Genomic DNA, 12,974 nt, shown 5'->3' with positions numbered 1-12,974 from the left:
CAGGAGTTCGAGACTAGCCTGGCCAACATGGTGAAACCCCATCTCTACGAAAAATACAAAAATTAATTGGGTGTGGTGGTGTGCCCCAAAATCCCAGCTACTTGGGAGGCTGAGGCAGGAGAATCACTTGAACCCAGGAGGCGGAGGTTGCAGTTAGTGGAGATCGTGCCACTGCATTCCAGCCTGGGCAACAGAGTGAGACTGTCTCAAAAAAAAAAAAAAAAAGAAAAAAAGAAAAAAAAAAAAGAAGCTAGGATGATGCCACTCCTTGCCTCTGGGGAAAAGATGCTATGCTGGTCCAGCAAGGATCCTCTTTGTGTCCTGACTTGCTTTCTCCTTACTTTATTTGGTCCGTGCTCAGACATTTTTCTTGCTGAAATCTTGGCTAAAATATTAAACTTGCACAAAGTATAACATCTTCATTGTTCCTTACTTGACACCTCCAAAAATTTTGCTTCCTTTTGAAATGTTTTACAAATTCCCACCTAGCGCTCTTACCTGAACTTTCTGTGCTGTAAACTATGTTGTCTTTGGAGGCCGCCTTTTCTCTGTAGACCAGTACCCTCCTGTGCATATTGTGAAGGAGGAGACTTTTAAAGACCACTCCTCTCCTTCAACACACACACTGGCTTTGTGTTGTATTTGAAAGCCAACACATGGCTGCTTTCTTGTACAGACTCATATACCTTGCCTTAAAGTTAAAAACCTCCTCGCCATGTCTAGCCCCTCTCAACAACAGAAGCCTGTGGTTGCCATTTAATTATTTTATGCCGAACATTGAGCAGGACTCAGTTTTAGAAAAGCTGATTTAAAAGAGAAATACCACCTCCACCACAGACATTATCACCACCACCTATATCCACTATACTTTGTAAGTCTCTTTACAACTACCTCAAAAAGCTATTTGCTAAAATGTTCCTGTACGGATTCTCCCAATGAAAACAAGACCTGAGAAGTTAGTAATTGTGTGGTTTGTCCAGAAGCACACAGCTTCTGGTGGGCAGCTCTTCTCATGCTGAGATCCACTGCTCTTCCTTCCAGCTAAACATATTCCTCCACATCTAGACACAGAAGGAGAGGAGCAATTCCAGTCTAAGGGGCACCTTGAGGTCCTAAGTCTGTGATTGAAAAAGTACATAGTAGCAAAAATTATATGAACTACAGCTGTACCTGTAACTAGTTCGCTCTCTAGGCATAGGGCCTTTGTACAGGCTATTCTAGCAAGACGCAAATATCTGAGCACAGAGTAAGGCAAAAGCTAGTCAGGACACAGGCTTTTGTATAGGAATGCTTTTCTACTCCTTTCCATTCCACCTGGTTAACTCTTTCTTCAAATTTCAGCATATTCAATTCCTTTTTTGACCTCCTGACTTGTCCGACAGGGCAATTATATCCTTTCATAGCTCCATGTAACTCTCCTCTGTAGCACTATGATTCTTGTAATTATTTGTGATATTCTTTTTGATTACTGTGTATCTCTCTCAATAGACTGTCTGCCCCATGAGGGTAGGGACTCTGATTTTACTCACTGGAACCCCCCATTATAGCACTGTGCTAGGGATAAAGTAGGAGCTCAGTAAGTATTTGTTAAATAAATGCATAAATAATGCTTTTGACATGTAACACAAGGCTATCACTAAGTTACAGATTCAGAAAGCAAAAATATCATAGAGAGAAGCATTCATCAAATCATACCTGCTAAAGATTTTCGCAGTGTGAATAAAAAGGAAAAGAGTGCAAACAAAAGATATTTCTCACTTGGTTGTTATTTAGGCGAAATGTTATCCCAGGTAAAGGAAGGGCAGAAGTTGGGGTGAGCTGAGGATGACTTTCCAAGGCAACCCCAGCAGCAGGCAGTCCTGCTGAAGCCAACCGGATACACAGGCTTCACTGAGTCTCCAGCATCTACGAAGCCTATTATAAAGCTTGTGTTAGGCACCAAGAGGTCTCTTAACTTCCAAAAGAATCTGTATTTTTGTTAGAGATAGCCGGCCATTTTATTTTATTTTATTTTTTTACTTTTTATTTTTTCTCTTTTTTTTTATTTAATGAATTCTTTTTTTTATTATTATACTTTAAGTTTTAGGGTACATGTACACAATGTACAGGTTTGTTACATATGTATACATGTGCCATGCTGGTGCGCTGCACCCACTAACTCGTCATCTAGCATTAGGTATATCTCCCAATGCTATCCTTCCCCCCTCCCCCCACCCCACAAAAGTCCCCAGAGTGTGATGTTCCCCTTCCTGTGTCCATGTGTTCTCATTGTTCAATTCCCACCTATGAGTGAGAACATGCGGTGTTTGTTTTTTTGTCCTTGCGATAGTTTACTGAGAATGATGATTTCCAATTTCATCCATGTCCCTACAAAGGACATGAACTCATCATTTTTTATGGCTGCATAGTATTCCATGGTGTATATGTGCCACATTTTCTTAATCCAGTCTATCATTGTTGGACATTTGGGTTGGTTCCAAGTCTTTGCTATTGTGAATAATGCCGCAATAAACATACGTGTGCATGTGTCTTTACAGCAGCATGATTTATAGTCCTTTGGGTATATACCCAGTAATGGGATGGCTGGGTCAAATGGTATTTCTAGTTCTAGATCCCTGAGGAATCGCCACACTGACTTCCACAATGGTTGAACTAGTTTACAGTCCCACCAACAGTGTAAAAGTGTTCCTATTTCTCCACATCCTCTCCAGCACCTGTTGTTTCCTGACATTTTTTAATGATTGCCATTCTACCTGGTGTGAGATGGTATCTCATTGTGGTTTTGATTTGCATTTCTCTGATGGAGCTGGCCATTTTATACTATTTGTGCCCCTAAAAAGTGATTTGGAAATTGGATTTCAAAGACAGTTAAACTAAATTCTAAATACACTAGGGAAGTGCTTCTTGACTTGGGATTCATGGAGCAAACTTCATACTCCAGGAGTTCATAAGACTATACTCAAAATGTGGTTTATGTGCAAATATAAGTGTTATTTTCTGGAAAGAAAATTTCAGAGCTTTTAATTAGATCGCAAAGGGATTTATAATTTCAAAAAGGTTAAGAATCATTAGTAGGAGAACATATTGGAAATGCTATAGCAGATTCCTCTGTAAAGCAAAGACTAATTTATCTATATTACATATAATTGTTTATTGTTAGTCTATTGTTTTAGACAAAGCCATTAGACTCATTTCTATCTAGAGTAATATGGGCATATTCATGGCTCCGTGGAACTTGCATATGCAGGGAAATGAAATTAATCAAGTATTATTCACAGGAAATTTTTAAAAATTACATTTATGCTTATAAGGAAATATTCATTATTGTTATTACTATTATTTCTTAGACCAAAACTGACTCAAAACTGAAAACTATAAGCTAACCACTAAGTTATGTTTTATATTGAATATTTTTATATCTAATACATGAAAGCAATTTTGACTGATTAAAAAAATCAAATTGAACAGTTATCTTGTGTGATGACCTTATAATATTTTTATGAGTATGAACTTAAGATCATTGAAAGAAGTGGAAAATTTTAATAAACTATTTTATCATTGTTTTTATCTGGAGCTAAAAATGTTGATTTATCCCAAATCAAAGATTTTTAACAGCGTTCCTGGGATAAGTGAGGAACATAGCCCATCTTCGTAGATTAGCAATGTTTATTACATGTTAAATAAAAATATTTTTATATTCAAACACATACCAATGTATTGATGAAAAAAATTTGCATTATTTTTTAATACAAGCCACAAGACCAAGCAATTTAAATATTGCAGTGGGTAATTTCTGTTTTATCCTCTTCACCCCAGAACACTGAAGACTCTTTGGATACAACATTGGTTGTTAGTAGCACTCTAAACATAATATTTTTTAAAAAGGTAAATCATTTGTCTCATGACCTAGAATGAAACTAGTACAATAATTACAAATAATTTTGTTTGTCTACATACAGAATTTTAGATTGGTGCTGTTTTACGAACAATACTGCACTTTTATGGTTATTTTGTGCAATTTTATAGTAATAGATATTTCTAGGTTCTCTGGTTTTCTTATACATGTTGATTTCTTGTTCTACAAACTACGTATTTGCAAAAATGGAGTAGAGATTTTAATTTGTAATCCACATTCTCATGAATTAATACCTATCCCCTTCTATTTTTCCCAAAGCTAATCAGAAAAGTTATTTTCTCTCTCTACAATACCTAACCTTTAGATACTTTTCTTTCATTCCACATGCAACCATTTAATCGATCAATAGCAATAAGAATGACAATGGCTATCGTTTGTAGAATATTTATTATATTCTAGGTACTGTGCTAAACTCTTCTGTATACGTGATTTTAAAAAATCCTCACACGTATCTTTTATGGTGGAAATACTTTTACTTCACAAATGAGGAGACTGAGGCAATAAACATGAGTAACTTTCCTGAAATAACACAGCTATGTCTAAGAAATTGGATCTAAAACTCAGCTATGATTCCAAACTCTTAACTATTACCTTGTAATCCTATCAATTTTTTAAATCTTTAATGTCTCACTTTTTTTTGTAGAAATCAGTCTGCATTGTGCTTTTACACATAATCTTCTTGTTATGACACCTGAGGAGCAAGAAGTGGAGAATTCTTAAGCAAGGAGGTGGTCTTTGTTCTGCATTTGGAAGGAGCTAAGCTTACTGCAGGTGTAATGAAGGCAAGTGGATGTCGGAAAGCGGTACAAACTTGTGTAAAAGTACGGAAGGAAAAGTGACAACTTGGTGTGCCTGGAGTGAAAGGTATGTGGTATGATATGCAGGAGATGAATGTGGTGCCAAGAAATTTAGAGGGCTAATCTATAACAGGGCTTGGTTGCCATGCTGAGGAATTTTGGAGTCTTAGTGATATGAGGGAGCCTTTGGAACCTACTAAGGGGGCAACTTGAGCAGGGTTTTTTTTTTTTGTTTGGTTGGTTTTTTTTTTTTTTTTTTTTAGGAAGATCATTCTGGCAGTGTTTCAGACAGTAAAGGGGACTGCCTGGTGTGTGGATGACAAGTTAGATGGTTTTTGCAAGAGCCACGGTGAGAAATGATCGGGAGCAATGAAATAAATGGCAGAGGGAATAGGACACTGGGGACAAAATTAGAGGGAAATCCTGAAGGGATCATTGGCATAACCTGGTAGCTAGTAGCCTCAGGAGTTTGAGGGAGAAGGAAGAATTGAGGATGTCCTGAATATTTGAATGAAAGTAATAACGTTTCCACAATCATTCTGTCATAAGTATGGACACAACTGTTGGCTTCCATTAAATTTAATGTGATTTCATTATTTGAAACCGATGGCCTCATTTAATTTAACATGCTATCATGCTAACATGTAAAAAAATTATGTATTCTGCAATTTTCAGTTATCATAAAGTCACAAAAAATTTCTGATGAAATTTTTCTGTCAAAAATAGCCAAATGAAGTATTTTAAAACAAATTTATTTGTTATAAAGTATAACAATATACCTAGAAGACATTATGATTGTGTAATAATATACCTAGAAGACAATTTACAGTAGAATCCAAATGGTGTTTATTGTGTGATCCACTGCGTAGTGGTTAAATGTGAGATCATTTGAGGGAAAAGATTGACTCTAGATTTTGGGGAATTTTTTATTGAAAGCAATTTATTAAAATAAGAAGTGATAACATTTGGATTCATTTAACATCCAACTGGACTGTAATCTAGTATACCATCCAGAATATGCCATGCTTTACTCAAGTTTCAGCTCTAGCTTGTACCAAAATTGAGACAAAAGGGTCAAATAGAAAGTGACCCAAATTCAACACAATTGTCAACTTATTAAATGAGTGAGCATGTATGAAACAAATTTGTCAAACAATGTTAATTCTTATCTAGAAGGACTGGAGAAAAGAAGAGAAATATGGGCCTGAAATGTGGCAGAAAGTAATAGTTCTCTGACTGCATCTGGCAAGTTTTTCTAAAAGCTGATACATTAAGAAAATGAAAAGTAAAGGCCAGACTGGGAAAAAACGTTTGAAATGCAAAGGATTTTTATCCAGAGCATATAAAACTGTTTTGAATGAATAATAAAAAGATAAAAACCCTAATTTTAAAAGAATAGGCAAAAGACTTGAATATTATAAAATAGAGGATGCATGCATGACCAATAAGCACATGAAAAGATAAATCCAAATGAAAGCCACAGTGATACCATTTCATACCAGCTAAAATGGTGAAAATTAAAGAGCCACCATGACAGTGAACAAAACAACATGGAGCAACTGGATCTTTCATACATTACTGCTGAAAGTGTAAAATGACACAGATGTTTTGGAAAAGTATTTGGCAGTTTCTTTTAAACCTTCATCTGCCCTATAGTCTAGCAGTTCCACTCCATGGTATTTACCCAAGAAAAACAAGTAAGTGTGCCCATAAAACAACATGCGCAAAAAAGTTTATACTAACTTATTCATAATGGCTGCAAACTGGAAACAATGCAGATAATGGATATACAAATAATGATATATTCATACAATAAAGTACTAGATAGCAATTAAAGAGAACAAATAAGAATGCAACAATATAGATGAATCTAAATTATCAAAATGAAACTAGACACAAAAGAGTACATACTGCATAGTGCCACTTATATGATTTCAAGAATAGGTAAAAATTAATTTATGGTGAGAAAAATCAGAAATATGATTGCTCAGAAGGAAGGGGGTTTCTTGGAGGAGGAAATTATAGAGATTTCTGTGGTGATAGAAATATTCTGTATCTTGTTTGGATAATATTCATATGGGTCTATATATTTATCAAAATTCATTTAATTATATTAATCTTTAGATTTCATTGTGTATAAATTTTGCCTCAATTAAAATATATGCATTGGGTAACTCAGATACATTTCGGATATAGATGACTGAATAAAGTACATAAAGTCACTTTTTTTTCCAAATGAGCAGCTCATCAATAACAAAGACAACAGCAGCAAGAACAAAAATGCTAATGTCCAGGCTTGATCTCAAATCAGTTAAATCGAAATTTCTCAAAGTGGGCCCTAGGCATTGGTATGTTCTTAAAAGTTATATAATCTATTTGAGAACAACTTAAACAGGCCAATAGCTAGGCAAATTAGTAGAAGAGCTACCTAATTTAATAAATTAAAATAATTGTTGTTATGGACTAAATGTTTGTATCCTCCCCAAATTTATATGTTGAAGCCCAGCTCCCAGTGTGATAGTATAGTATTTGGAGCTAGGGCCTATAAGGTAGTGATAAAAGTTAAATGAGGCTGCAAGCATGGGGCCATAATTCAGTAGAACTGGTGCCCTTGCAAGAAAAGGAAGAGACACCAGAGCTCTCTCTTTCTACCATGTGGGGATACAGTGAGAAGGCAGCCTCAGCAAGCCAGGAAGACAGCCCTTACCAGAAACTGAATCGGCCAGCACCATGATTTTGAACTTCTCGGTCTTCAGAACTGTGAGAAAATAAATTGCTGTTTAAGCCATCCAGTCTGTGGTATTTTCTTATGGCAACCTCAGCACAATAACATGATTGCCATGCTTGGAAATGAAAACTTGAGTTGTCAAAGTAGAAAATAAAATCAATGTTAACTGTGTTTGATTTTTTTTTTTTTTTTGCTTTTTAGAAGTTTATTTTAAAAGCAAGAAGTGGGCTAAGGGTGGGAGAAAATGAATTGCTTTATCCTCAGAGAGGCAGGTTCAGGAATGCCGAGGGGTGGAGAATAGAGACTTTTATATATACATACAAATTAAAATCTCTACCCCACTTTTACAAATACGTAGTTTGTAGAACAAGAAATCAACACGTACAAGAACACCAGAGAACCTAGAAATATCTATTACTATAAAATTGCACAAAATAACTATAAAAGTGCAGTATTGTTCATAAAATGGCACCAATCTAAAATTTTGTATATAGACAAACAAAATTATTTGTAATTATTGTGCTAGTTTCATTCTAGGTCATGAGACAAATGATTTACCTTTTAAAAATATTTTTTATATATAGATATATAACTTAATAACTTCTGCTTTGCTATTTGTTTTTGTTTTTTTTTTTTAATTTGTAAGGTTTCTTTTTTGGAGAGATTTACACCTCGCTATCTTCTCTGGCTGGCTCAACCTGAAGGATCCCAATTTTGAAAGAAAAAGCATGTGATCAGCATGGGAGTTTCGACCTGCTCCGTTTCCGACCTGGGCCAGTTCACCCCTCCTTAGGCAACCTGGTGGTCCCCGCTCCCAGGAGGTCACCATATTGATGCCAAACTTAGTGCGGACACCCGATACGCATAGCACACTACAGCCCAGAACTCCTGGACTCAAGCGATCCTCCAGCCTCAGCCTCCTGAGTAGCTGGGACTACAGGCACAAAGACCTATTTATGACAAACCCACAGCCAATATCACACTGAATGGGCAAAAACTGGAAGCATTCCCTTTGAAAACTGGCACAAGACAGGGATGCCCTCTCTTACCACTCCTATTCAACATGGTGTTGGAAGTTCTGGTCAGGGCAATCAGGCAGGAGAAAGAAATAAAGGGTATTCAATTAGGAAAAGAGGAAGTCAAATTGTCCCTGTTTGCAGATGACATGATTGTATATTTAGAAAACCCCATCGTCTCAGCCCAAAATCTCCTTAAGCTGACAAGCGACTTCAGCAAAGTCTCAGGATACAAAATCAATGTGCAAAAATCACAAGCATTCTTATACACCAATAACAGACAGAGAGCCAAATCATGAGTGAACTCCCATTCACAATTGCTTCAAAGAGAATAAAATACCTAGGAATCCAACTTACAAAAGAGAACTACAAACCACTGCTCAACGAAATAAAAGAGGACACAAACAAATGGAAGAACATTCCATGCTCATGGATAGGAGAATCAATATTGTGAAAATGGCCTTACTGCCCAAGGTAATTTATAGATTCAATGCATCCCCATCAAGCTACCAATGACTTTCTTCACAGAATTGGAAAAAACTACTTTAAAGTTCATATGGAACCAAAAAAGAGCCCACATTGCCAAGTCAATCCTAAGCCAAAAGAACAAAGCTGGAGGCATCACGCTACCTGACTTCAAACTATGCTACAAGGCTATAGTCACCAAAACAGCATGGTACTGGTACCAAAACAGAGATAGAGACCAATGGAACAGAACAGAGCCCTCAGAAGTAATGCCACACATCTACAACCATCTGATCTTTGACAAACCTGACAAAAACAAGAAATAGGGAAAGGATTCCCTATTTAACAAATGGTGCTGGGAAAACTGGCTAACCATATGTAGAAAGCCGAAACTGGATCCCTTCCTTACACCTTATACCAAAATTAATTCGAGATGGATTAAAGACTTAAATTTTAGACCTAAAACCATAAAAATCCTAGAAGAAAACCTAGGCAATACCATTCAGGACATAGGCATGGGCAAGGACTTCATGTCTAAAACACCAAAAGCAATGGCAACAAAAGCCAAAATTGACAAATGGGATCTAATTAAACTAAAGAGCTTCTGCACAGCAAAAGAAACTACCATCAGAGTGAACAGGCAACCTACAGAATGGGAGAAAATTTTTGCAATCTACTCATCTGACAAAGGGCTAATATCCAGAATCCACAAAGAACTCAAACAAATTTACAAGAAAAAAACAACCCCATCAACAAGTGGGCAAAGGATATGAACAGACACTTCTCAAAAGAAGACATTTATGCAGCCAACAGACACATGAAAAAATGGTCACCATCAATGGCCATCAGAGAAATGCAAATCAAAACCACAATGAGATATCATCTCACACCAGTTAGAATGGCAATCATTAAAAAGTCAGGAAACAACAGGTGCTGGAGAGGATGTGGAGAAATAAGAACACTTTTACGCTGTTGGTGGGACTGTAAACTAGTTCAACCATTGTGGAAGACAGTGTGGTGATTCCTCAGGGATCTAGAACTAGAAATAGCGTTTGACCCAGCCATCCCATTACTCGCTATATATCCACAGGAATATAAATCATGCTGCTGTAAAGACACATGCACAGGTATGTTTATTATGGCACTACTCACAATAGCAAAGACTTGGAACCAACCCAAATGTCCAACAACGATAGACTGGATTAAGAAAATGTGGCACTTATACACCATGGAATATTATGCAGCCATAAAACATTATGAGTTCATGTCCTTTGTAGGGACATGGATGAAGCTGGAAACCATCATTCTCAGCAAACTATCGCAAGAGCAAAAAAGCAAACACAGCATGTTCTCACTCATAGGTGGGAATTGAACAATGAGAACACTTGGACACAGGAAAGGGAACATCACACACCGGGGCCTGTTGTGGGGTGGGGGGAGGGAGGAGGGATAGCATTAGGAGATATACCTAATGTAAATGACGAGTTAATGGGTGCAGCACACCAACATGGCACATGTATACATACGTAACAAGCCTGCACGTTGTGCAGGTGTACCCTAGAACTTAAAGTATAATTAAAAAAAAAAAAATATATATATATATATATATATATATATATAAGAAAAAGCATGTGAGACTCAGAACGGGCGAGAGAGTGAGGGCCCGGCACGCTCCCAAGTCCCTGAGCCCCCAAGCTTGCCGCAAGGGCTCCCCTATACTCCTCACGGCAGCCATCGCTCTCTCGCCAAACAAAACCGAAGCCCCCAAACAGAAAAAAATGAAAAAAAAAAAAAGATTTTTCACAGATGAAGAAGTTCACATTCATTCCATTCATTGAGCCTGCTGCTGTCCCTGATGCATGGCTGCCGGGACCTGGGATCTGTCCGTAGTAAGCGGCTTGCTGTCTGTAATATTCTCCCCAGACTGCATTGTAGTCTGGCTGGCAGCCTGGGGGAGTTCCTGGACTCCCTCCGGTGGCCACTTGGCGCCTGCTTCTTGAAGTGCTCCTCCCAGGCCTTCGTGTAGTCCTGCTGCCGGGCGCTTCCGGCTGCTGGGGCTGCTGGGCCGATCTTTTTGTAATACTCTTCCCAGGCCTTAGTGTAGTCCGACTGGCCGGTGGGCGGGGACTGAGGGGGCTCACCTTGAGCGGGTGAAGCCCCGGGGACCTGCGCGGGGCCGACGACGGGGCGGGGACTGCTGGTAGTAATGTGAGTAGTAGGCGGCCCATGTGGCGTTGGCGTCCGCGGTAGACGCAGCTGCTTTGCTTGGATCGTGAGGAGCAGGCGGTTGCCACTGTGGGTAGGTATTGCCCCAGCCCTGGTAAGGAGGGAGCCCCCAGGCACGCGGGGGAGCCCAGGTGGCCCCTGGTTGAAGGGCCCCCTCGATAAGCTGCTCGGCGTGTTGGATCTGCTGGGGCGAACCCTGGATGATGAACGACTTGAAGTTGGGATCCCCACTGGATGGTAGCTGCCAGGAGATCTCTACGAAGGCTACAGTCTGCTGGTTTATGACTTTCACGTTCTGGCCACCTCGGCCGATGACCAGCCGGCGCTTGTGAGTGGGGATGGAGAAGGTCATCTCCCCGCCAGGGGGCCGCCAGTTGCCTTGGCCTCTTCCTCGGCCTCCCCGGGGGCATGCCTGGACCCCTTGGAGGGCCTGGGGGACCACTCCTGAGGCTCTGGAGGAGGTCGTTGATGATCCGGGCTGCGTGCTCGCACCTGTCTGGGGACCCCATTATATGAGCAATCTTCTCGGGCCCTGTCCCATCATCTTGCTTGAACTGTATCGGCACGCCAGCGTCATTCTGGATCTTCTTGATCATCTCTCCTCTCAGGCCAATGACCACGCCGACAGAATGCCTGGGCACCGGCACATCAATGTCCCCGCCAGTCCGAGATCCGTAATCATTCCAGTCCCCAAAGCCGCCTTGGTCACGTTCCCGGAGGATGTCCATCACCATCTGGCAGGCTTGCTGCACTTTGTAAGGATCCCCAGGGATCCGGAGAGGGTTGTCCACATTCGTGTTCTGAGAACCATCTTGAATTAAGATCATCTTCACTCCAGCGTATTCCTGCAGCTGCTTCATGGTCTCCCCGCCCTTGGCGATGACCAGGCCGGCGTTGCCCGCAGGGATCATGTCCTGTACAGTGCCATTCTGGCCCCCTTTGGCGGTGTCGTGGAACTGTCCTGGGGGCCCCCCATGACCCCGAGACACAATGTCATCCAGCATCATCTTCGCTTTCTGGAGAGATTCTGGGGCTCTTGTCAAGGACACACTGTGCTTGGGTAGGCCACTGCTGCCTGGAGTAATCTATACTTTGCAGGCTGAATCCTGTTAGATTTTGTCAATTTGTTCGCGCCCTCTGCCAAAGATCAGGCCCACCACACCGTCTGGGACCCTGCACTCTTCTGTCATTGAAGTCCTTGGGGGACGATGGATGGGTCCAAGTTGAGAACTGATTGAGTCTCCCTGGGAAGCCAGCTTCTTGCTCTCCGGTTGATCTCCATCTTCCAACTGTCTCTTATGGCCCCCTAGACCAAAATCTGGAGTGCTGTTATTCACTGTCGTTGCAGCATCACCTACAATTTTGGCTGCGATCTTGGGAGGAGCCAGTCTACAGCCCCAGAGGCATTGAGACAGCCCAGGAGCCGGTCTGTTTCCTGAAAGGAGGCAAAGTCCTCCCATTCTACAGACCTCCACCCCTCCAGGCCATGGGGAGGCTGTAAATGGAGCTGAAGAGGTCAGTCCTAGCAGCACGTGACACCTTCTTGTCATCATGCCTCAATACACGGTGGTGGGAGACCCTCTCCTCTTTCCCCCAAAGAGACAGACCACCTTTCAAGCCACCAAAGCTTCCAAAAACCAGTTCCTATACTCATTTTCCCCATTTCGCCCAAGTGCTCAGCCCTAGATAGTTCCTCTATACACTTTCCTGACTCAAGAGGAAGGACTGTCCGTCCCATCCCCACAATGCCCCTTCCTCCAAGGGAGGGAACAGAAATGGGATTGGGTTGGGGGCAAACACTGCCCTTTGCCCTGATATGGAGAGGA

General features: G+C 40.5%; 1 long non-coding RNA gene and 2 pseudogenes across 1 annotated transcript in view; 1 reads left to right on the top strand and 2 right to left on the bottom strand.

Moving 5' to 3' along the window:
• LOC107987026 (uncharacterized) overlaps positions 1 to 9,648 on the top strand; it is a 69,939-nt gene extending 60,291 nt beyond the window's left edge. The window contains exons 2-3 of the long non-coding RNA XR_001746563.3: positions 4,560 to 4,780; positions 8,088 to 9,648. This is a non-coding gene — a long non-coding RNA (uncharacterized LOC107987026). The remainder of the gene's footprint in view (positions 1 to 4,559; positions 4,781 to 8,087) is intronic.
• On the bottom strand, positions 7,624 to 12,523 carry KHSRPP1 (KH-type splicing regulatory protein pseudogene 1; annotated as a pseudogene).
• On the bottom strand, positions 8,173 to 8,385 carry RN7SL151P (RNA, 7SL, cytoplasmic 151, pseudogene; annotated as a pseudogene).

The sequence above is a fragment of the Homo sapiens genome, chromosome 9 (genome assembly GCF_000001405.40).
Source record: "Homo sapiens chromosome 9, GRCh38.p14 Primary Assembly".
In the NCBI taxonomy this organism is placed as follows: domain Eukaryota; kingdom Metazoa; phylum Chordata; class Mammalia; order Primates; family Hominidae; genus Homo; species Homo sapiens.
Note: the sequence above shows the minus strand (reverse complement) of the source record. Positions and strands in the feature narration are given on the sequence as shown.